At 35.8% G+C, this 27025-nt stretch overlaps 1 annotated feature.

Annotated features, from left to right (window-relative positions):
• Positions 13969-14590: an enhancer, noted in NCBI's record as "NANOG hESC enhancer chr21:28191085-28191706 (GRCh37/hg19 assembly coordinates)". NCBI's record gives its function as "activates a minimal SCP1, AML or CMV promoter by ChIP-STARR-seq in primed H9 embryonic stem cells {active_cell/tissue: H9 hESC(primed)}" and the evidence as "EXISTENCE:reporter gene assay evidence [ECO:0000049][PMID:30033119]".

The raw sequence follows: 27025 nt of genomic DNA, 5'->3' as shown, positions 1-27025 counted from the left end.
AACTCCCTGCCTGCTGGGGTAATGTTACAGGGAGGAGTATAGCTGCCTCTGCTGTACAAATGAATCCACATGGGGAGTCGGGGGTAGCAGGTGGCAGTAAGCCCCACTCAGCCCCCACACACTTGGCAAGGCAGGTCTCGCATCCACAGTGTTCTACTAGCAGCAGCTAGCTGGGTTCCAGACAGCCTGCACTCAGAATTCCAAACTGCCCCAGGCCAGAAGCATTCTGGGCTGAGAGAGAAACTGCGGCTTTCAGGCCACACCTCTTCTGGTCCTCCAGCAAAGCGTGGGCATCCAGCTTCTGTGCCTGTGGCTATAGCACAGTTCCCACTTGACTCTCAATTCTGGCCAATGGGGTTCATTCCCACTCAAAATTATACCGCACATCTGTTGGGAGCATCTCTCATCCCATGACCATTAACTCAATTAGCTGGCAGACTTCTGCGAGGTCCTCCGTGAGGTAGGATCAGGCATGATTTCCTTCCATCACCACTGGATTCTGCGAGTGAACACAAAGCAGATCCGCACGCCATTCCTCATATGCTCCCCACAGCAGTAAGTCAGCTCCAGCGCTGGATAGAGTGAAGGCCTCCCAGCGTGGCCTGGATTGCCTGGCTCCTCAGTGAGAGTGTGTGTCATAAATGCAGTCTCTCCCTCTCACGCTCTGGACACTCACAGGTTTTTGTGTGGTTCACGGCGTAAGCTGCTGCTCACCACTTCTTTGAAATAGGTCTGTGGTTTCTTTCAGTTTTTTGATTAATTTCCTATGCTGTTTCTTGGAAAAACGTTCACAGCATGAATTTCTACACAGTATTTTGTCTTTTCAAGTGGGAGAGGCATGCTAACAATGCATCCAGTTCACCATCTTAGAAAAAAAGAAAAAAAAATCCAAGCACAATTTTCGGATCAGAGATTTCATCTACGATTGGCAAAAATAGTTCCCAGCTCTTTGTTTCATTTGTCTTCTAGAAGAGTCCACTACAGATATTAACGAAAGAGGAACAATATACAGCAGCCATAATTTTCTAACCTCATTGATTTCCCAAAAGAAAAAAATACTTATTAATATTAAGATTGCGTGTGCTGGGACTATCAAGGAAATTAAGCAAAGATATCATAGTAGGGAAATGTAGTCTGTTCTGCCATGCACATATTTCTGTGACATGGGTGAACTCATATGACATTGGCAGAAAGTGAGTGATGTCATTAAAGATGGAAGATGTTTTGGTTCATCTACGTGTTTTCTCAACAAAGTAAATTATGCTTTCTCATAGGAACAGCAGAACATAAAATATAGTAACTCATGAACACAGCAAGTCACAGAGGAATTCAGAACCATACGCAATGCCCACTCACCCCACTTGTCTCCATCTGGTCACAAACAGTCTTGGAAATTCTTTATATGGCCTTTGTTCAATGTGTTCTTGTCTCCATAATTCAGAAACCTGAATTTTTCTTTACAGCCCCTTCTAGCAGCCATATTGCCTTTATGTAAGGGTAGGTTTCTAAAAGTACAGTTTTTTTTTTTTGAAATTTAGCATGTTTTGTTAGCTAGGGTAGTTTCTTTTTATTTAGGATTACTATTGTCTTATGTTCTGCTGCTCTTAAGAGAAGTACAAAACAATTACTTATTGGGGTGTGAAGGAGGTGAGGAGTGAAACTTTATGAAGAATAATACAGAAAGTTTTCTTAAATAAGGAGATATGTGGGTGGAAACCAGAGAGATGGAAGGGGATAGCTCTCAGAGGGATATTATAATAGAGGGGTGGCCACTACAGGTGGAAGTATGCTTCACTTCTTGGAGAGGACAGCAAGAAGCCAATGTGGCTGGAGCAATGGAGAGGACAGCAAGAGGCCAATGTGGCTGGAGCAATGAGGATAGGAGGTTGGTGGAGGGCAGAGAGCATGTTCCACTAAAGTAGGCAGTATGTTTGCATTTTGCTCAGAGTAAGATGGGGAGCGAAAGGAACTGAGCACAGGAGAGACATGCTTACCTAACATTTTAATTGGAAGCCATTGTAGAAGAGGACCCAATAGAAGACCATTGCCATAATTGCAATAAACAGCAATGGTGGGCTGAGCTAGGGTGATAGCTATAGAAGAAATAAAAGAGGTCAACTTCTACAGCTCAAGACAATGAGATGTGCAGATTTGTAGATGTGAAGGGAAAAGAAAAAACCATCATGGATGACTCCAGAGATCTGTATTGTTCTTCTGTTTTTTTGTTTTTGTTTTTGTTTTGGGTGGGGAGATATTTTGTGCAACTTATATGTGTGCTGTGTTCTACCTAGAGATCAACAGAAATTAAAATACAAGATTTCTAGTATTATTGAAACCAGTTACACCTATAGCAAAATATAAACTGCAGAGAATATGGTTTCAAAATGATCTGGAAATGTAAAGATAGTTGTTAAAAAAGAGGATATATAATGTGAGATATTTTAATAAAAATAATTCCAGTACAAAACCATATGTCATATTTACAAAATTATAAAAGAATTTGCTCAAATTATATTGGGAGTTAACAAAGAATATAATTTTATTCTTGAGTTTGGTAATTAGATAACTATAGATGAATGATATTTCTTGAAAACAAACACACACAAAAGTCTTTTCATGGAAAGAGAACTCACATGAAACCCATAAAGTAAAGAATGGAAAGCAAAGTAAAAACACAAAATAAGATGACGGAGTTCCAATTACATTATTATGGAAACACATTGTTTAAACTCTTCTATTAAAAGACAAATATCTTCAGGATGTGCTTAAAAATAAAATCCAAGGACATGATAAGTAAAAGGAAACTATCTAAATCAAAATGACATTTTTGTCAAAGAAGTGCAAAGATTTATTAGGCAAACACAGAGAAAATAGGAACAGAATTGATTTCAGCCAAATTATTTTTAAGATGGAAACACAAAAAATAAAATAAAGAATAATAGTTTTGTGAATTAAAAGTACAAGTCACAATAAAATATGTGTCCTGGATAATAAAACAACTATCTATAAATTTAAAACTTTTAAAAAAAATTACAAAGGATAATCAATAGGAAAGCACTGTTCTATTTATTTTTAACATCTCTCTCTAGCTAAGGACAGATCAAATATGTAAGAAAAAAAAAGCCAATCTTTACAAAAACATAAAACGAAGACTCAAATAAAGCAAAAGACGTACAAATTTCTTTGAGATTGACTCCAAATCATAACCTGTTTATTTTGTCCTAAAATAATGAGTAGATTTAATGAAATTTCAAGTGTTGGCTAATGACTCAAATTTTTGGAACTTGATAACATGATTCTGAAGTTCATCTGAAGAAATAAATTTGATAATGAAAAACAGAGAGAAACATAACTGAAAAACATGGTATAATACAAGAGACTTGTTTGACTTGATTTGTAAATTCACCCTAAACTTGCAATTAGAAAACAAAATGGTAGTTGTAGAATTATTGATAAACATAACGTTGGATGAAAAAAATAGCCCAGAAACAAATCTTAGTAACTTTAACCACAAATTATTACTAGATAATAGTTAGAAACATAAATCTGTGAGCAGAAAAGGACCATTCAAAACATAGCCCTGAAAAATATTTGGGAAAAATAAGTAAATTCTGAGGCTTCTTTTGGACTATTCATCAGCTTAAATTCTAGATACATAGTTAAAGCATTTAAATGAAAACTGTAGTAGTCAAGGTTCTCCAAAGAAACAGAACCAATACGATATCTATCTCTATAACTATCAATTTATATAGATATCTATCTATCTACCTAACTATATAGATTTATCTATGTCTCTCTATCTATATAGCTGTAGAAGTTATAAAAGAGGTCAAATTCTACAGCTCAAGACAATGAGACTTGCAGATGAATGTGATATGAAAGGAAAAGAAAAAAACTATGCTAGATGACTCCAAAGATTTGTATAGTTCTTCTGGGTTTTTTGTTTGTTTGTTTCTGTTTGGGTGGGAATATATCTGTCTTACAATAAATAAATCTTGTAGTAAATCTCTATCTATCTATCTATCTATCTATCTAGATCTATCTAGATCTCTCTATCTATCCATCCTTAATCACACGATTAAGGAGGCTGAGAAATTACAAGAACTGTAGTCAGTGAGCTGGAGTCCCAGAAGACTAGGCTAATCAAACATCTATATCTGATGGTTGGCATCTGTGAATGGTATTCACAAGAAGCAATCTCTTAAAAAACAAAAAGAAGAAGAGCTGATGGTATGGTTCTGTCTAGGTCTGATACTGGAAGAAGATCCATGTCCCAGCTCAAAGGCAATTGGGCAGAGAGAGAAAATTCTCCCTTACTCAGTTTTTGTGTTCTATTCAGATCCTCAACAAATCAGATGAGACCCATCCATACTGGGGAAGCCAACCCGCTTTACTCAGTCTACCAATTCAAAAGTTATTCTCATGCAAATGCACCCTGACAGAAACAGCCAGAAAAATGTTTAACCAAATATCCAGATACTCCAGGGCCCAGTCAAGTTGACACAGAAAGTCCACCATCACAAAAACCTTAAGAAGTATTAGTAAATATAAGGATATATTTGTCTGCTCCCTGGATGGGAGAGTATATGTGAACACAGAAACAATGAATGTGATTACACAACCAAGACACAAACACACACATATATACACAATACACACACACACAGATACATGGAATGATTTGATTGGCTTAAAAGCTCTATACCTCCATGTTTCAAGAGAATTCTTTAAAAAATAAGAAAAAAGTATTTCATTAAATACAAAAGGTATGGGGTTGTGATCTGTTATGTAGAAAAAATTCATACAAATAGATAAAAATAAGTACTCAAGACATTGTCAAAGGACCTGAACAGACAATTGAAAAAAATCTACATGTACCTAAAGTTCAGAAAAAAATGCTCAGACTACTAGAAATCAGAGTGCATGTTTTTAAACAAGATTAAAATTCAGGTTCCAAATAGGCAAAGTTTAAAAATAATGTTAGTAAAAATTACAATAATATCAAAAATTGGTATGATTGTGTGAAAGCCCCCTCAAATCCTGCTGGTGCAGATGTAAATCACAACACTCTTTCTTGAAGTTGCAATCATAATTTTCAACCTCAAAGTTCATACATTTAAAGTTAAATTCAACCTGTAGTTCCAGCTTAACAGATCTGCTTCCTCTACACTTCTCTTCTCAGTATGCTGCAGAAGCAGAGAGCTAGAAGTTACTTCTCCCCACTCCTATTCTACATGTGGCCCATAGGCAGGTTCTGCTACTGCATCAAAGTCTTTTCACCATCTCCATGCCTCTGCCTCCTCATCACCATCACCCTAGTCCCAGCTGCCATCTCTCCCACCACTAGGCCTCTTAAGGGGAAGGCCACATTCCTTTACAGTGCTCCTTCCAATACATACAACCAGAGTGTTCTTTGTTTCATTTTTGGTAATACAAACGAATGTCATTTTTTTAAAAAATATAAATATAAGGGGTACTAGTGCAGTTTTGCTTCATGGATATATTGCATAGTGGTGAAGTCTGGGCTTTTAGTGTAAGCATCACCCTAAGAATGGATGTCATTCTTTTGTTCAAACCCTTCTCTGACTATGTAGAGGATAAAGCCAAAATCTGCAGACAGATTACCAGACTTGTAGGATCTTGCCCAACTGTTCCTCTTCATCCAGAAGCTCTCTTCCTCCCTTCTGGCTTCCTTTGAGGTTTCTCCCAAACTTGTTTCAAGACTTTCTTGCTGGCCATTGATTTCACCTCCTGCTTCCAAATGGCCATTTAATTAATCCCTAATCATTCTTTAGATCTTAAAGTCAATGTCACTTTATCTTAAATCCCCCCCAGGCTAGATTGCACTCTCAAAGTACTCTGTACATTCTCCATTGTCACTTTTCATAGAAACCATATCCTCTTCTAGCTCTGGGTCTGTTTTGCTCACCATTCCCCAAACTCCTAAAACTATGCCTGTGAGATATGACTTTTATTTAATAAGTAACCCTCAAAAAACTCAAATTATTGGATATAGATATTTCTACTCCTAGGAATCTATGCTAAATAATCTGAAGGTTTCACAAAGATTTATATATGAATGTTACATAACTCTGAATGTAGCCAGCAAAGAGGTATACTGTATTTATTGACATAAGAAAAGTTGAATCTCAGATAGTAATGATGGTAATCAACATTCTTTTTTTTTTTTTTAATTGAGATGGAGTCTCACTGTGTCACCCAGGCTGGAGTGCAGTGATACGATCTCGGCTCACTGCAACCTCTGCCTCCAGGGTTCCAGTGACTCTCCTGGGAGTAGCTGGGCTTACAAGCATGCACCACCATGCCCAGCTCATTTTTCTATTTTTAGTAGAGATGGGGTTTCACCATGTTGGCCAGTCTGGTCTTGAATCCTGACCTCAAGTGATCTACCAGCCTCGGCCTCCCAGAGTGCTGGGATTACACGTGTGAGTCACCATGCCCAGCTGATAATCAACATTCTTTGAAATTTACAATGTGTTTTATATAAATCAACTCACTTAATCCTAAAAAAGCTTCATTATTATAATTTCTATCTTATAGATAAGGAAAGAGGCAAAGGGAGGTTGAACTGCTTGGTTTAGGTAGGGCAGTTAGCAAGAGGTAGAGCATGGGTCATTTGCCGCTGAGGTTTGGATATGGTTTGTTTGTCCACACCAAATCTCATGTTAAAATTTAATCCCCCAGCATGGCTGTGGTGGGAGGTAGGGCCCAGTGGGGGGTGTTTGGATCAGGGAGCCAGAACCCTCTGAATGTCTGGATGCCATCTAACCATACTGAATGAGTTCTCACTCTGTAGCAATGGCATTTGTTCTCTTGGGAATGGATTAGTTCCCTCCAGAGTGGGTTGCTGTAAAGCTCGGACAGACATCCCTCATCCCCTGGCTTTGGTTTCCTTTCACACTTGCCCACTTCCGCTTAGACCTTCTCTTCCATATTTTGACGCAGCATGAAAGCCCTCACCAGAAGCCAAGCGAACGCCAGTGCCCTGCTTCTTGTACAGCCTGCAGAACCGCAAGCCAAATAAACTTTTCTTTATAAGCTGCCCAGGCTCACATATTCTGTTATAGCAACAGTAAATGGACCAAGACAAGAACCCAACCTCAAGAGCATACGCCTTCTATACTCTTAGGTATTAAGCCGTGTTGTGCTGCCAAGTTGTGTGCACACACACGCACAACAAAACATATATACAAAAGTAACCTAACTAGCTATTTTTGTTTTCTTCTTTGTACCTTCATGAATTTTCCATGTTTTCTTCAAAAAAACCACGCTATATCATTTTTCTAATCATCAAAAAATGTGGTTTTTTAAAAGGTGGGAAAACCCTAATTAGTGTGGTTTTCCTTAAGTGTGAAGACTTTCTCACCAGTGGTTTAAAGACACTGTAAATAGTTTCTGTTGTTATTTAAATTGTTCCCAAAACAGGTAGCTTTCAAAAACTGAAGCATTTTTGTAGTACGATATAATAAAAGAAAGTTAGTTATATTGGTATTTAGATGACGATGGCTTTTCCAAGCTTGAAGGTAGATTTCAAGACAGATGAATTGGTCAGTTGATTACTAAGAGATTTCATATCTTGACTTCAGTATATAAATTATTTTACAAAGAGATGCATACTATATATAACTAAAAGTACAAAAATTTAATTTCAAATTCAAACCTGTTTGGGTTTCCCACAATTTTACATTTTTCCATCTCTCTGCCCCTGTTCACTAGTGAAGAAGATGAATGAATGGGAAAACTCTAAGAATTTAGTGTTAGTAACAGTTTAATTTTTTTTAAAGTATACCCTACAACTAGGGGAGATCTGGGAGAATCAAACTCATAGATCCCTAGTAGGCATCAAATCCACATAAACTGAGTATCCCTTTGTGTGTCACATTATGATATTAAGTCCTTTCACATTAACTCCTTTCGTTCTGAAGCAATGTAGGGTGCAACAGTAGCCAAACGTGAGAATTGAGGAAAAGGCTGGGCTCAAGCCCCACAACAATAGTCCTATGTATTCAAGATTATCTGTGGAACAAAAGAATCCACCAAAAGCTAAGGGTGAAAGAATAAACTACGATTTTAATTGTAGGCATACATATAAAGAGTAGAGCCAAGATGAGATGATGATAGTCCTCTTTATGACAGAAGTTCTGTAGAAATAACTTTCAAAATCTCTTCAATTATCCTTTTCAACTCTCTTCATTTTTCTTATGGAAACTGGTATGGTTTGGCTCTGTGTTCCCACCCAACTATCTTGTTGAATTGTAATCCTCCAGTGTTGGAGGTGGGGCCTGGTGGGAGGTGATTGGATAATGGGGGTCGTTTCTTTTTCTTTTCTTTTTTTTTTTTTTTTTTTTTCAGACGGAGTCTCACTCTGTCTCCCAGGCTGGAGTGCAGTGGCGCGATCTCAGCTCACTGCAAGCTCCGCCTCCCGGGTTCACGCCATTCTCCTGCCTCAGCCTCCCGAGTAGCTGGGTAGCTGGGACTATAGGTGCTCGTCACCATATCGGGCTAATTTTTTTGTATTCTTAGTAGAGACGGGGTTTCACTGTGTTAGCCAGGATGGTCTTGGTCTCCTGACCTCGTGATCCGCCCGCCTCGGCCTCCCAAAGTGCTGGGATTACAGGCGTGAGCCACCACGCCCGGCCGATGGGGGTGGTTTCTAATGGTTTAACACCACTGCTCTAGTGCTGTCTCATGATAAGAGTTCTGCGATATCAGGTTGTTTAAAAGTGTGTAGCACCTCTCCTTTCGCTCTCTCTTCCGCCTGCTCCAGCCATATAGGACAGGCCAACTTTCCCTCCACGTTCCACCAGGATTCTTGAGACTTCCCTAACGGTGCTTCCTATACAGCCTGTGGAATTGTGAGTCGATTAAACCGCTTTTCTTCATAAATTACCCAGTCTCAGGTAGTTCTTGATAGCAATGTGAAGATGGACTAATACAGAAACTGTCAGTGGGGCAGAGAAAGTTTTTCCCTTAGCAGTAGAAGAAAAGAATATCCAATAAGTACTGACATCATATAACATATTAAAATGGTACACTGGCCTATTGATGCAGTGGTGTTTATTACCTTGAACAAAAACACATCCATGGAAAGATCCTATCCTCTCATAACTAGGGTAGATATTTCTAAATTGTATCTTGTTTCAAAAACTAAAGCTAGATACTGAAGTAACATAATACAAAGTCTAGAATTTTCTTTAAAAATTTCAAGCAAAAATAGAAAATGTGAAGATAGATGAAACTAGATGAACAAAATGATAATAATTGTTAAAGCTGAGTGATAGAGATGCATACTTCGTTCTCTACTTTTGTATAATTAGACTTTTTTCTACAATAAAAGGTTAAAAATAAACTGAGAAGTTATGTTTCTTTTGTCTAATTTACAAATCAATATCGGTATTTGAAGCAATTTAAAATATGACATATATTAGTGTTCTTTTCTACTCTTGCTTTTTTGAGGAGTATAAATGTATTTAAAGTACTCACACTTAAAAATACAGAAACACTCTCTAAACAGGGTTCAGTACAGAGTGCAGGAGGAAATCATTATGTGGTAATTAAAGTAAGAATCAGGAAGGAAAGAAGGAAGGAAGGAAGAAATATTTATGCTCCGCAGCAATGTAAAATATAGGGCAATTAAGTGGATTCTCTATTGTAATAGGTTGTGAATTTATCACTTTTCCTACAGAGGCAAGATTTAAACATTATCATAGGATACAAAAAAATTCAATATTTTATATTAAAGTCTCCTAGAACTCCAATTTTCTACCAACAGGAAGAAAATTACGTAGAGAATGAAAACGAAAAACCACTTTTTGCTTGCAGGTACTCAGGATTTAATCTTAAGGACAAAAGATAAATGTATTATGACTACCTGAAGCACATATCAAGGGAATTTTTTTTGAGGAAAGAAATGCTGAGTGAAGAGAAGGGAATTAATATGAAGACCATCAGAGAGATTCTTGGCTCTCAAACTTGAAGGAAGTAGAGTCCATTGATAAAGCAGGAAGAGGTCATATTTGGTATATTAGTTCATTCTCATGCTGCTATGAAAAAAATACCCAAGACTGGGTAATTTATAAAGAAGAGAGGTTTAATTGACTCACAGTTCTGCATGGCTGGGGAGGCCTCAAGAAACTTATAATCATGGTGGAAGGCACCTCTTCACAGAGCGGCAGGAGAAAGAATGAGTGCCAGCAGGGAAATGCCAGACACTTATAAAACCATCAGATCTCATGAGAACTCACTCACTATCATGAGAACAGCATGGAGGAAACCTCCTCTATGATCCAATCACTTCCCACTAGGGCCCTCCCACAACACATGGCGATTATCTTGAATTGTAGTAATTCAAGATGAGATTTGGGTGGGGACACAGGCAGACCATATCATTTGGCAACCTTGAATTTGTAGATGAGGGAGCTCAGCTGAAAGATTAAGTAAATAGTTAAATCTCCAAGATATTTGGTTTCCATCTGAAGCTCTTCACCATATGTATCAGATCAGTTATGTGCACAGTTTCATTTTTTTCTTTAAAGTGGGCTAAGAATTTATCAGACCCCTGCTGTATCTTTCATAAAAGCAGAGAAATGCACCAAATAAAGAACACAAATACTGACCGACTTCTGGCGGTGCTGGCATTACAATATTGCTCTGGCTTTTCATTAATTTCAAGTTGGTTTATTCAGTTCTGCATGTTCCAGAGCCTTTCACCTTCAGTGTTTTCACCAAACTTATTAACAGGAGTAGAATCAACAGGTTTGGCTATATCTCTTCTCTTCCCAGAGTATGCCAGAGGTAATAATAAAAACTAACTTCATTTCAAAGGATACTTCAGGGGAAAGAAAAGAAAAGCAGGGGTGTACATCATCTTTTGGTTTGATAAACTAATTCCAAATAAATGGAAGTTGGCTGGAGACCTTCATTTGAAACAATAAGGATACATATTCTCAAAGGCTAGCCCAAGCCTATGGACAGGATCCTTTGCTATTAAAGACCCACAGAGATGATGATATCTAGTTATCAAACTGCAGCATACTCTGGAATATGCTCTATAATACAAGGTCAATTTCTTTTAGAAGTTAGATATTAGTTAAACCTTGTGGTTTTCTAATTAAAATGTCCTGATGACTTCCTTTGACAGTAGTGATAACAGAATATTCTCATATAGACCTTCAGCATAACTTTTAAATTTGGCCTTCAAATGTAATATACAACAGTACAAGATTGCTAAAAAAAATGCAGAATATCCTGTTTATCTTTGCTCTCTAGTCTCCTTTTTCTTTTCTTAAAACAAAGGACTTGGGTTATCTACCTAAGGTCATCATAGCACTGTATTTTTTTTTCTTTAACATCCATATGCATGTGAGCCATTTAAAAGATTAAAATGTAAACAAAACTAAATACTTAGAAAAGCTTTTGATCCTCTGCATTTGTAAACATTTCTAAGAAACCTCACTTGGGACTCTCCTAGATATTGCAGGCATGGTTGAAGCAGTAAAATTCAGTTCTTAGCATGACTGGGAGAAAGGAAAGAGCATCATTTTACAAGTGAAAAAGAAGGCATTATTAACAGTCCAAAATTAGAGAACTGAACACTTTTCTGAGCAATTTTCCTATCCACAAACTGTGGGACCATATAATTAGTTATTTTATCAGACTTGACTTTATCAATAGCCACACACAAAAAGGTACAATTTAAAATGTGAATAAATGTGAATGTTTGTTGATTATAGAGCATCAATAAAAGTAAAGTTGCTTTAGATTGCTGGATATTATACTTATTTATATTTTGAACCCCCAAAATATAAGAATGAATACTGGTAAAACAAATGCTTACTTTTAAGCAATATTTTGACAAAGACTTCTGAAGAATCAAATTGTAGACCCCAAAGGTTTTATGTAGCAAGAGGAGTCAATTATACTTTAATAGCATATCTTTAAGAAAAACATCCCTTGCAAAGAAGATAGAATCAGTTTTAGTAGTATACTTGCCCTTTATCACTTTGAACAAATAAAAAAAGATGTTTAACTAAGGCTGCCTTTTTTTGAAATATAACCCTTCAAGTAGTATATGTCAAGAAAAAAAGAAAGGAAGAAACAAAGGAAGGAAAACAACTTAACATTTTCTCAAGAAAATTATAATAAGAAAGATAAATATGCAGAGTGGGCAATTAGATTATTCATTCCATTGATATAACAAGAATGAGTAAGAATCAGTAAATATCGCTGGGCTACTAGTTTGTATAGGGAACTGTCCTAGGGCCTGAATAAGAGCCCACAAGAAAAAAAAAGGAGAGAAAATAAAGGAGAGAAAGGAAGGATGCAGAAAGGAAGGAAGAGAGAAAGGAAAGAGGATGGAAAGAAAGGAAGATAAAATGGGTAGAAAAAAAAATCATTCTTGCCTTTAGTCTTATAGTATAGCTGGAGAAATAAAATGTATACAAAAGAAAAAATAACAATACAAGAAAGTGAGTCCAGTGAATTGCATCAATAACATGAGCTCAGGAATACAGAAGCAAGGGATCACTTCAGGTCAAGGGGTCAAGGAAGGAGTAGAGACATAACATGATACTTTGAGTTGAAAGGAATGAAAACAGGCGGGAGATGTGTTCCAGATATTGGAGAAGAAATAACAGAGACAAAAATGTCTGATCCATGTGATCCGTTCTTGCTCAGCCACTCATACAGATGAGTGGCGTGTGTAGGTAATACCACCAGGTATGCTGGGTGGACAGGAAACCCTTCCGGCATGGAGCAAAAAATAAAGACACAGATGGATGCCTTCTGTTTTGCTAGCTTCATCCCTGTTCACTCAATGAGATAGGTCAACTTAATTTTCCAAAAGATTGTCTACAGAAATTATTGACTATTTGGATTTATGAATTTTTAAAAATTAAATCCAAGTTACAGAGGCAAGTGATGATAAACTTGTCCAGATTTGAATATCTAAATTGACCACACCCTCACCCCAAGTCAAATCACTTTGGACTACAAGTCATGAACCCAGAGCAGGCAATTGCTCCAGAGGCTCTGAAGCTCCTCCTTGGAACTGTCCTCAGAGCCAATTTAGAGAAACAATCTGCCCCATTGCCGCCCAGGCATGTTTCACTTTTTTGACCAAAAATGGCATCACCCAGATTAGAGACCCACCTTAGTCATGGTATTTGGCTGCAAGGGACTTTGGTTGCATCCAAAACAAAATCCTCCTTCAAAAAGAGATTTGCCACCACAGGAGATAGTCAAAGAATGAGCTGCAGGCTCTGACGTTAATTCCAAGGTATCCATTTCAGAAATATTTAAGGTATGACAGCATTCTTAGGAAAGTTGTATGTACTTCCCAAATGACAACCTTAAAAGGGACAGAGTGCTTTTGCATTTGGGTTTTGGTTTCTCTCTTGAAAAAGATTCAGTCATATTGAGATGTTGTTGACATAGCAACTGAACATGCAAAATTTGAATCAGGCTGCTTGGATTCGAATCCTAGCTCCTCCATTTACTTGCCTTACTCTTAATTTGCCTTACCTTGATTTTCCATCTATAAAATGGGAATGATGAAAATAGTAATGTACTTCATTCAGTTGGTATAATTATCCCACTCATAATACCTGCAAAGTGTTTAAACTAGTACCTGACACATAGTAAGCACTCCTAATCCTAATATGGTAGTAGATATTAATGTAACAGTTTAGATTGGGGCAGTTTTTCTAAGGACAAATTCATATGAAGACAGCAAAGTACTTAATGGTGTACATACTGTATTCTGTTGGCAAATAACTTTGACATCAGCCCTGTTATTTGTTATGTAAGACTGTCTCTGCCATGTTTGATTGTACTTTTCTTCAAAGAACCATCTGCATTTCTGGACAACACTCTCCATACGGACTGGTGTATTTCAACTTGAAATCAAAATTTGCCATAAGATGCATTTTTGGTTCTACCAAATGAATATAACTATACAGGCAGAGAGAGTGCAGAGAAAATGCATAATATACATGCATATCACTATATCTGTGCTAGGAGGACACGGGTGTAACTTATAATAATTATAGTTTATGATAACTATCGTATGTCTGATTAAAACCACAAAGAGCCCAGAGTCCCTTAAATCTATGCATAAAGTCATACTTCTCCCCTCCCCAACTAGTGCTCCTTAAGCTCTTCATAGTAAACCCACAATCTCCTCAAAATCTTAGTTCATAATGAGACAATGGGTCTTTGTTTAGTTTGCTTTGTCTGCCATTTCAGTTTCCCAGCATGAAGCCCTTGCTATGCTTTCATGGCTACACTTTAGCACATTAAAAATGAATGGGCAAACATTTCTTCAATCCTTTCTGCTTACAGTCTTTTAAGTTTGAAGTCCGGGATCTTTTATAAACTAAGTATATGACCTTGAGCAAGTCATTTAATATTTCTAGGTCTGTTATTTCTTCAACAAGGTAAGATAATTGAGTTATTTTAATTTTACGGTCGAAGATCCTTTTCCTTTTCTCATATCTCTTCTCACTGGATAATACCTTGGAAAGCCAAAAGCCATGTGTAATTCATTATATCCTGGTATTGGACTTTAAGTCACAGAGATGTGCACGAAGGCAGATATCACACCGTGATAGCCAAGGCAATTTCCTTTAAAACATTATTTTTTTTTCAATTTAAACCCATTATACTGTCATTTTAATTGTTTACTAAAAAAAGAAATATATTTGGTTTAAATTGCCTTTATTTAGCACAGAATCACTTGAAGGCTTTCACTTTGAACTCTATCATTTTCATGTGCTAAGGCCTCCAGGAGACACACATTCCCTGTAAAAGTGTTCACCCGGATTTTATACTCTTGTGCTGTGTCTCTGTAAGTGGGTTTTATGTTTCTTAATAATAACGCCACATCTTTTTCTTTTATAGCTCTCCCTCCTGTCGAGTTCCTAGAATTGTAGTCTAGACATAGTAGAAACTCAATAAAAGTTTTACTCATTGACAAACATCTGGGCTTTCTGCAAAGAACAACCATGGCTTAAACATTTACTAGTTACCATGGCTCAAGTAGCTGTAGAGGGGAATTTATGCCCTTGCTGCTACTGAGGTTGACATGTCTGTACTTACAAATTTCTCTGGGAACTGGTAAATTACCTTTTTGCATTTCTGATTCATCTTTTATAAAAATGAGGAGCTACCTTAAAAGATTACTCTAAACTGAGTGAGATATTATATATAAAACTTCCGGCACACGGGGTAAATAAACATATTACTGAGATATTAATACCTGGAGCACATGGCTGACTATAGTCATTTTCTAGCTGATTCAATGCTCTCAACCCTGCCCTGATTTAGGGACACACAACTCAGTTACCTTAGAAGGTATTTTGGTAAAAAGAATGGATCTGAGTTCAACTGGCCTTCAGAAGCTTCTAGAAGCTGACAAGTTTATCAGCCCCAACAAAAGCTTAGGCAAGCTAGGGTGAATTATGGCCTGGACAGTATTCCAAAAGTAACAAGCAACAAGTAATGTGAGTGGTGCATTCCATCATAAAGTAAAAAAACCTGTTTTCCTAAAGTACTGAATTAAGAGGAAAAAATAGATAAATATATATTTTACATGTAAAATAGTATATATAATAGACATAAATATCTATTTTATATAAATATATAACTATTTACAATGTATATATTTTCTCTATTTTATATACAATACATATAATATGTATTACATAATATATACAATAATATACAGTATTTTATATATAATTATATATACTTATACACACTTATATATAAGTATATGATATATCATTTATAATATATAACAATATATTTATATATACATATATGTTATTTATAATATACTATATAAAAATATATTTATATATATTACTATATATTAAAAATATTTATATATTATAGCGAGTATATATAGTAATACACAATAGAATAAATTTTTATATAATTTAATTTTAACATAATTATATAATATAGAATATATTACATAATTATATATTATAAAACAAAATTACATAATTTTGTATTACTATATTATTATAACATAATTATATTAATTATATAACGTATTAAATTTTATAATTATTTAGTATATAATTATATTTTTATTATAACATTAAATAATAAAATTATTAAAATATAATTTTATTATATATTTTCTATTTTATGTTAAAAATAGAAACTATATAAAAATATATATATTCATATATATATTTCTATTAAATGTAACTAATTCCTAACTTCATGAAAATGTTTTTGGATGAATTTTATTTTTATTATAATTAATGAGAGTTTTTTGATGGGGTGATGGCTCTCCTAGATGACCAAGGTTCTAAACACTACTTATACTGTCTAAGTTCTTGAAGCAAAAATTTCATGTTCTCCATTTCCTTGGTTCACATTTCAGAATAAATTAGAAAATAAGTAGCATACACTTTTGATTAATAAGTTTAATGATGGAAAGTCAGAGCTTCTAAAAATAACAATTATGACCATATAATTTTTATTATGTTATTTTATTACACATATATAAAATTATGGTCATAATAAAGAGCAAGCTTATAGGTGGTTTAAAAAAAGTTCACAAGAAATGACCCCAAATAAATTTCCCATTTTTTTTAATATAAAGAAACATGGTTATTTATATTTGCTTGTGTGTATAAAAAGTATTGGGAGTTTTTAAAAGATGTTTTTAAATGATGGTCCTTGTTTTAAAGGGAAATGTACAATAAAGTTTTAAACCTTGGAAAAAGAAAGGTACTAGAGTTTGTTTTTATTTATAATGAATTTTAAAAGGTATTGTTATTCCTATGGTGGTTGTTCCTTTTGGCAATACTGCTATAAGATCATCCACAATAGCAGTGCAGCATTTTAGCTTTGTCTGAAAAAATACATTTGTGTGTGTGTGTGTGTGTGTGTGTGTGTGTGTATATATATATATATATATGCTTGTGTGTGTATGTATGTATATACACACATATATACATATGTATATATGTACGTACACATTTATGGGTGTACATATATACATATGCATGTATATATACACAGAAACATATACACAGACACACACATACACACACACACACAAATATATACACACACACACACACACACACACACACACACAAAATATCAATTGAGACCTCTAGTGGAGCTAAGTGGGAACTGTCCCACTAACTGCTTGCATGTTTTAACTTCATCAAACAATAATAAATTCCTTCCTAGAAAATGTAGGGGTTTTGGTAATTTTAAAAGCCTGCCTATTTACCTTTCATACATGTATTAACTTTTCCTTATATTTTATATCAAATACTTAATAATTAAAATGATTATATACAAAATTTAAAAAACAGTTGCTATGACTACAAATGCTTTAAGACTCATACCGTTCGAAGTGTGAAAATTGTAACAGCGTTTGGGTAGAAAGCTCTTTTATTCCCTGGTGAAATGACTTGCTGTGATTTTGTACGCTGGAGATGGAATGCACATTGGGAGTCTGGTATCCTGTTAACGATGATGATGCAGAGACTAAAAATACTTGACATTTGTATGTTGTTTGACATACTGGGAAATGAAAGCAATGTTGAAGTACTGTATTACTGTCCCAATCCCAAATAAAATGGCAAATGCTGCAATGTACTCCCAGTAATAGGAGACCAGCTTGAAAATGAGAAATGGCTAAAGGAAGGCTCTACAAAATATTAATAATGGGACTGTGAACAGAAAATGGTCTATACAGATTTTAACAGCTGCATGTGAGCTAGCTGAAGAAATAACTAGCTCAAATGTTTTTTCATGTACTTTAATTTTTGGTTTTACTTATTTGCACTGTACAAAGAAAACCAAATTCAGTTTGTAAAGAAAGTCCCTGAAGTATCATTTATAGATAACTCTGACTGGAGATTATCCAAGAGAACATGAGACTTTTCAGCTTGGTAAACACAGTGTTCAAATGAAACAGCTCTGAATTTAAGTAGAAAAAATGCTCAAAAGATAAGGTTTTGACATCATTAATATGCCAGTAATTCAAATGAGGTAATATTGTTTCCAAGTCACACATAAACATAAAGTCAAAAACACTTACCTAACACATATACATTGACTACAAACCCAAGGTAAAGTTCAGAAACACATGGGACTAACCTTACACTGAACAAGATCCCAGTATGTTTGTATTAATTCATTTTTTAAAAAATGTTTACTCATTATCTCTCTATATAGTTTTTTGTTTTGTTTGTTTGTTTGTTTTGACAGGGTCTCGCTGTGCTGCCAAGACTGGCATGCTTTGGCATGATCTCGGCTCACTGCATCCTCAAGCTTTCAGGCTCAAACTATCCTCCTGCCTCAGCCTCCCAAGTAGCTGGGACTACAGGTGCACATACACCTGACTTTTTTTTTTTTTTTTGGAGAGACGGAGTTTCACCATTTTGTCCAGGTTGGTCTTGAACTCTGGACTCATGCTATCCCCCAACTTCAGCCTCCCAAAGTGCTGGGATTACAGTTGTGAGCCACTGTACTCGGCCTAGATAGAGTTTTTGATTTACTTTTGAGGGAAGGGTGAGACAAATCAAAGAGTGTATGTCTGTACGTTTACATTTACCTTTGGGAAGTCAAATTCCCATATTAAATTACTGAACAACAAGAGGTGGTATTATATGCTTTCCTAACAACATGAAGAGTTGCAGATAAAACAGGCAATAGAGTAAACATAGAGTACTGTAGACCAGGATGCTTGAGAAATCTGTGCAGGAAAAGGAATTTAAACTATGATCTAAACAATGGGTGGGATTGGGATAGGCTGAGAATGGCATTCCTCCAAGTATGGCAGAAATTGGAGCAAAATCTTAGAGGTAGAAAGAAGCTTAGGACAGAGCTTTAGTTCAGGGAAATTATGAAAAAAAAAATGGTAAAGCAATGGCCCATTAAATCATTTTGGACTTCAGACAAAATGGACATAACTGTAAGTAATAAAGATTCCATAAAAAACCGATGGCTACAACGGACAGTGCTGGTGATGGCAGGAAGGAAATTAACTCTAAATTGAAGTTTCAGATACTGCCAAAGTATTTACTTGGTGATTGGTGAACACTGACTTGCCTCGAGTGCTATAATAGATGGCATTGATAATAGGTAGGATATTACCAAATAAATCTTGACCCAAGCTTTAAGGAAAATGTAATCCAACTGTCAAGGCAAAACTTGTGCTAAAAAATATTTGGAAACACACAAAAATAATTTATGAGTAAACTGAAATCTGCTTAATGACTAAGATAAATGAGAATTTAGCCAATAATAACCCAAATCAAATGAGGTTACAAAATTTAAGCTTTGTATAACACTCCTCCACTTTTTTTTTTTTTTAAAGAAGTGCATTATCATGATGGTTAATTTTATGCGAAACTTGGCTACACCATAGTACCAATATACTTGGTCAAACACTTGTGGATGTTGCTGTGAAGGTAATTTTAGATGCGATTAACATTTAAATCAGACTTTAAGTAAAGCAGATTATCCTCCATTACATGGGTGGGCCTCATCCGATTAGTTGAGGGTCTTAAGAAAAAGACTTAACCTCCCTGAGGAAGAGGGATTTCTGCCTGTAGACTGCCTCTGGACTCAACTGCAACATCGGCTTTCCCTTGAGTCTCCAACCTGATGTCCTATCGTGCAAATATGGGACTTGCCAGGCCCCACAAATATGTGAACTAATCCTTAAGATAAATTTATCTCAGGCTTTCTCTCTCTCTCTGCCTCCACACACACATACACACCCTATTGATTCTGTTTCTGTGGAGAACCCTGAGTAGTCCACAATTGTGAACGAGATTGTTAGAGAGAATGTTGCGATAGATAAAAGCAGCAAACAAATCCTCACATGTGGGAAACTTCGTGGGTTTTGTTGGATTTTTTTGTTTTGGCTTCTTTCCCTCAGAATGGAAAATTTATTTCAAAGCACTTTCAGAAATGAAGTTAATTAGAGGTGAAAACCAGTGAGACAAAGGTTTTTGACTCTAATGCTTTAATGAAGGTAGTGGTGGATTGGCCTAGAGTCAAACAACGCATACTAAGCACTGACATAATATGGATGAAGTGCAACCATTAGGAAAACAGTACATTTACATAATTTTTAATGTCACTAAATAATACATTCCCCAGTAGGCTGCTCCTCCTCCAAATTGTTTTCAATCAAGGTGTTTCCTTAAAGAATTCCTTAAAAATTTATTTTCAAATTTCAACATCAACATATCATATGATCCAGAAATTCACTTCTGGATATATTCCAGAAAGAATTGAAAGCAAAGACTCGAACAGATATTTGTACACCCATGTTCACAGCAGCATTATTCATAACAGCCAAAAGGTGGAAACAACCCAAATATTCATCAATGGATGAATAAACAAAAAGTCGTATATAGGATATTATTCAGCCACAAAAAGAAATAAAATTCTGACATATGCTACAACATCCTCAAGACATTAGGCTAAGTGAAATGAGGCAGACAGACAAAGGTCAAATATTGTCTGATTTTACATTTGAGGTATCAAGAAGAGTCAAATTCATAGAGATAAAAAGTGGAATTCGGGTTACCAAAGTCAGGGAGAAGGAGGGAATATGGAGTTATTATTTAATGGATACAGAGTCTCTATTCGGTGTGATGACAAAGACTTGGAGATGAATGATGGTGATGGTTCCACTTCAAGGTGAATGTAGTTAATGTCACTTAAAAATAATTAAAATGGTAAATTTTATATTATGTATATTTTACCACATTAAAGAAAATCCCTCTTTTCTGGACAGGCAAGTCAGCCTGAAAAGAGGGCACCGAGGAAAATTTATAAAGAGAAAGATCATTAGATTGAGGCTGATATTGGAAGGAGATAAAGAAATCTGGCTGAATGTAAACTTAAGGGTCTCAAGACAATGATAGCATCTATATTCCTGTGCCAGGAACAATCAGATGAGCCAAAGTATACATTGTAGTGAGTAGCATAAACTCTTCAGAGGATACACCCCCACACAAAATACACAAAATTTTCCATCTAAACTTTTACTTATGAATAACAGTGGTGATTGCAAACAATCCTTCTAGATTTGCTTTTGAAATGACCATATGATTATAATTGAAAAACATTTACTGATCTCTATCTGAACCCAGAAAAGGCATGAGCTATATGGGTTTCTCATTTGTCTACTTTTCTCAGAGCGTATGAATACATTTACTATATTGTAGTCATTTTCTAAAACTTCCTTGCTAGAGTTTTAATTTATTAGATATATTCAAAATGCAAATTTTCAGAGCCACCAGTTATAACAAGACATGTTGGCTATCTAATGCAATATCAGTCAGTTGCTTTCAACACAAATTTCAGGTTCTTATGATGATATCTTTTGTTTTGGTTTGGTTTTTTGGTTGTGAAGCTTGGGAGATTTAGTGGAGGTAAATCATCGATTATAATCCAAGGGACATACTTTGCATTTTTAGCAACAAAAACTATTTCCATTCCTATCAAATTTCTATGAGTTCACTTCTACCTCTACAGAGTTGTAAAAAAGCCTAGTCAAAAATGAAGGCACACATCCCCATAGCACCACATAATCTCCAAAGGCTCTTGCATTTCATTGAAAGGATATTTAATAATCTCCTTTATCCATTGCAAAATCTTCCACAATCTTGCTCAAGTCTCAAAGCACAGTTACTATTGATTTAGCCAAAAGTGCCCATCTTGGTTTTCTACTATTTTAGTGGTTAAAATGGTAAGATTATAAAATCATATTGAAGGAATAGAAGAAAGGCGACAAGGTGTAAATCGGCTGATAGCTTATCTCTGTATCCTCTTAATCTCAACTTCCTTGTTTGTATATAGGCTGACATTGACTTTCCTGACATATTCTTTATTTCAGGCCAAGACAGCATTTTAGAAAATGTATGCCCACTACAGCACAGTCCAATATATGCAGTGATAAGATGAGAATTCCAACAGATTAACTCACAGATGGTTGTTAGGCTATATAGATGATCTTATCTCCAACCCTGCCCAGAAACAAACAGGAGACCATTGTGGAGCTCCCAACTCAGCTGTTCGGGACTTAAGATGAACTCTGCAGCAGCCAAGTCCTACATAAACAGGCCTTTCTGGGTGGTCATCCTGGCAGTGTGAAGTATGATTCATTGAAGTGGAGAGTATTCGAGATGACAGAGGCACAGATGACCCCTACAAGGTTCAAATTAGAGAGAGTCCAGGAGCAATAATGAATCCAAAGAGAAACTGAAGCTATTATTTTGTCCAAAGTCAAACTACTCTCTCAGCAGGGAGCACAGCACTTTCTCAACCCATCTCTTCCTTTTGCCCATCAACAAACTCTTCTTTATTTTATTATGCTTGACACCAAACCAGATTTTCTCATTCAAATCTCTGTTATATTCAGTCTCCATGGCCAGAATTAGCATGCAGTGTTTGTCTTATTTATTCTTGACTCTTTCACTGGGAACTAAAATATTTGGATTACATTACCCATGACAATGAGAGTTCTGATGGCAAAAACATGATCACATTCAGTTGCCAAGCAAATCAGATATGATTTTGCATGCCAAGCATAAAAATTTGCTAAAGTGTTGGTATTTTTAAGTTTTCCTCATACATTTACTTTTTAAAAAATTTCATCTTATCCTCATAAGAAGCCCTAAGATAATTAAAGCAGGTATTATCATCATATTTAATTTAAAAGATGAAGCTGACTCACAGCAAATTCAAATTTATTTTTCTTATACAGGATTGTGGTGATGACTACTTGGGCAAAAATCACATACGCACATCATAGGGGCTAGAGGTACGTTCAGACACCAAACCTTTCTCACAATTTATATGAATAATGAGTGCCGAGCATAGCCTGGGAGAATAGTCAGCCAGATGTTTTCAACACAAATTTCACATTCTTGCAATGCTTTATTTCGTTTGATTTGTTTTTTTGGTGTGTAGTTTGGGAGTTTTCATGGGGGTGGCTTTGACCTTGAACACAAAGGTAAGTGAAAATTAAGGGTAATTTCTACAGCATAAAACAGCAATGACGAATTGGTTGATTTCCACCATATTTTATCTTTATTCAGAGCCTATAAAAGGAAGACTAGTCTGTGAACATCTGTAGAACACATGTGAAGAGTGAAGAAAATCCTTTTATTCCTAATATTTCTCACAGAAAATTCCTTATGACCTATGCAAAACATCATTATTAGAAACTATCAATTTAAATGTAGTAACAACTACTAGATCTAGTAAATATTTCTTGTTGACCTGTCTCAAATTTTGTCATCATGAGACACATGAGCAAAAATAAAATCAGGTGTCTTTATTACTCATCAACTTTATATCATTGTATGAGCAAGCGACTTTCAGTACCTTGAACGCTGAAACATCAGGTGAAGGAATGCTTCCGCTTCTATGTGTGTTTTAAACTTGTTAGGACATGAAAGTGCTTAAAAGTAAGTTTGTTTTCCAAATTTAAAAAAATAAATTTAACCATGTAATACATCCAGTGGAAAAAAAAATGTATACAAAGTTTTTTTTTTTTTTTTACTTTTGACTTTTGCACGAAGTGGGCCTTTTCAACAGGGTTGTAGGTAGCAATGATCAGTTCCTAAATGGCCATGGCTGAAACAACACCGTCCTTAGAGCAAGGCTGATGACAAATTAATTCCAAGAACTTTTTACATCACTTGAAAAATGTACTGTTGGAACATTCCTCTATGTTTTAAAATCTGGAGATTAGTGAATCTTTTAAAGATAGATTTGGAAAGGCAAAGCAAGCTCATGAAGACATCATCATATAGGTGAATTCAAGCAAGCTTTGTTTCAGTGTAGACAACGTATTTGTCCACCTATTTTGACTGCATCAAAGGGAATACTGAAAAAAAATGTGAAAAAAGTTTCTAGTCAAAAGAAGAAATTTCAACCAAGCCATATTAGAATTCTGCAGGACCTGCGTGAAGTAAGAGTATTGTCTACCACCAAGTCAGGAATTGATGATCCTTCCAAACACATAAAATCCCTTTGGTGATGAAAGCAAAATCCCCAGACAATTTGATTCTTTTTTCCCAAAGTGAGCCTCCACCCTAAATTTCCAACTATAATACTTAATTTGGCAAGGGAACAGTAGCATAAAATGCATTTTGCTCATGAATTATATTTTTTCCCTGTTCTTCATGACATTTATGCATGCCAAATATAAATGGCCGCACATGGATTAAGTAACAAAGGTGTCTTTCCTTTCCAGTAGCACACATTTTATTAATAAGGATTTGACCCAATCATCAGAGTGAAGGAAAAAAAAAATTAAACTGGCTTCTGGAAATAAAGTGTGTGACCCATCTGAGGCAAATTATCTATTTTAAAGTACCAGTTTCTCTCAGCATTTCAGAAAGTTACTTGCTCAAAAAGGAAAGTAATTTCTTGGAGGAAATAATTTACCTCAGGTGGAAAAGGGGCAAAGGTGTAGCTCTTGACCTAGCAAAGTTTTTAACCCAGGCTTGGAACCTCAGTATTAAATGGATCCCAACAATCCAATACTAAACTCAAATTGTAAGGGCTAGAGCAGAGTCTTTTACTATTTCAAGGCTCTGTTGATTTTGAAAGGGCTCTTTAAGAGGTTGTCTCAAAACCCATGTGCTCACAAAACTCAATATTGGCATCGTATACCAGTTCCCATAGGTTCTCTGATGTTTCTGGAGGTAACTGCATACAGAAATTAGACAGATTGTTCAGCAGTATTTACTGGTAGGGTAAGTTTGAAAAAGTATTATCTCATTTGTTCTTATTCTAGACATAAATTCTTCTCAAGTAGCTTCCCTTGTTCCAGGAAAGCTGAAAATCCCATTCACACATAGAGATGGGGCACTTTTGAATGTTGTGTTCATAACTGCCATTTTTCTACTTCCATTCAGTTTGCTCATCGTATATATTTTTAACTTCAATTGAGATTCTCATGCATCCATTTAACACTAACTCCAAGGCACTCATTTCCAGCATTGATCGTCACAGGTTGCTTTATTGGTGTCCTGTGGGTGGCGTGAGGTACGATGGTGCTCTGGCGTCCGCTTTCTTTCTTCTTCCATATGAACTCCTAGTCTGGGTTCCACAACACTACCAGATTTTTTCCCATCCCAATCCAGATTCCTTCTGGGACTTCAAATCCGGGCTTGGGCATAGGAGGAGTAACAAAGAAATATTTTCCCATTGAAATATCCCCTAGTGAGACCTTGCTAGACTGGCTTGAAGAGGGTTTTCTATCTAAGTAGCCCATCAATTTTCTTCTCCATGTAGAGTGGCATAAACAGGTCTAAAAAAGTAAACTATGATTTTCTCTGTAAGTGAACATCCTGTATGTCAGGCTCATAATCTCAAGAGGATAAGTAGATTGATTTAACATAAGAAGTGGAGAGCTGGTATGTAAGTGCAAGTGTGCGTAAAACCTGGAATTTGAATAGTAAAACCAGTTTGAATTTTGACAACCTAACATATGGATAGTAAGACCAGTTTGAATTCCGACAACCTGAAATATGAATAGGAGGGGATGGCTGTGGATAGGGTTAAGATGAAGGCAGATATACTGAACTTAGCATGAATTACCTTTGGTCTAGTAATATTACCTTTGGTCTAGTAATGCCAGCTTGGCAGCCTAAACTGAATTTATCCATTGATTTAAATAAACCAGTGGGTGTCAAGTATCTATGCAAAGCTTGTGTAAGAGCTCCATAAGATTTTTAAAAAGTCATCCACAAATAAAATGCAAAGCCTATGAGATTGGCCTGATGAAAATATCCCAATAACTGAAGGGAGGGTAAATTTGAATATGGCACGTCTCGTATGGGGTCCTTTTTCCAGCATTAAGCCATTTTGCTTGAGCTCTATGGAGTAGAACAAAATAGAAATGAAAAGGACTTTTCCAACCAAATTCTCCCAGGAACAGAGAGCACCAAATGTGGAAGATATGACCCATGGAATTCAAAGCTGAGAGGCAATACTGACCACGTCTACAGTATGGCTTCACCACATGGACTTCAGTAACTCTAGCTTCCATTAGATAGGTTATGGGTTTGAGTGCAGCAAGACAGCTTTTGCAGAGAGTGGCTTTTTTTTTTTTTTTTTTTTTTTTTTAACAGGATGATCTCACCTACAACAGCAGCAACAGGAAACAATATAGTAGTGTTAACTGTGGCTTTCAGACATATCGATGCCTCCACTCTGATTACTGTATGAAGCCAGTTCAGGCAGAAAGAAAATATGGGCACATATAGTATCTATCAGAGCTGAGTTTATGAGTACGCAAAAGACATCCTCTGGGGACTTCCAGAAATATTTAAGAGGGACGATGAAGGTTTCTGTAGGTCTGGAAGACCATGAGGAAGGGGAAGAGTCAAAGAAACAAACACTCACGGTGACTTATTGTGACTCATATTCTTGCTTCAAAACCTTTGTGGTCTGAGGAAACACATATTATATCCATAAAGAGCTGTCTATTTGTTGGTCAGAAGCATACGTGACAAATATTGTGAGTTAGTTTATTTTCAACCACTGTTCCAAATTCATTTACTCCTCTTTACCAAAATTTAAAATAAAATTTTCATTCTCCCTTGCTGATAGGGGTTGACCATATAAAATGGTTTTGGCCAATGAGACATGCAGAATTCTTCTCAAATAAGAATGGTAAAATATAGTGAGAAGAAAACTTTGGCATTTTACACTTGCCAAAACTATTCTTTCTGCCTAGAATGAGAATGTGATGGCTGGAGTTGCTGTAGCTATTTTGTGGCCATGAGATCAAAAGCAGTAGAAGATAATTGAGGGAGCCTGGTTCCATGATGGCTCCCTTGACACCTGCAAGAACCCTTGATTGTCAGCTTCTGGATTTTTTGATATATCAGAAAATCTTTTACTTGTTTAAGCCACTGCTTTGGTTTTCTCTTAATTTGTAGCCTATTGGATTCTAAATTGATATTTTGGAAAATATTCTATTATT

Source organism: Homo sapiens, chromosome 21 (assembly GCF_000001405.40).
Source record: "Homo sapiens chromosome 21, GRCh38.p14 Primary Assembly".
Classification (NCBI taxonomy): domain Eukaryota; kingdom Metazoa; phylum Chordata; class Mammalia; order Primates; family Hominidae; genus Homo; species Homo sapiens.
Note: the sequence above shows the minus strand (reverse complement) of the source record. Positions and strands in the feature narration are given on the sequence as shown.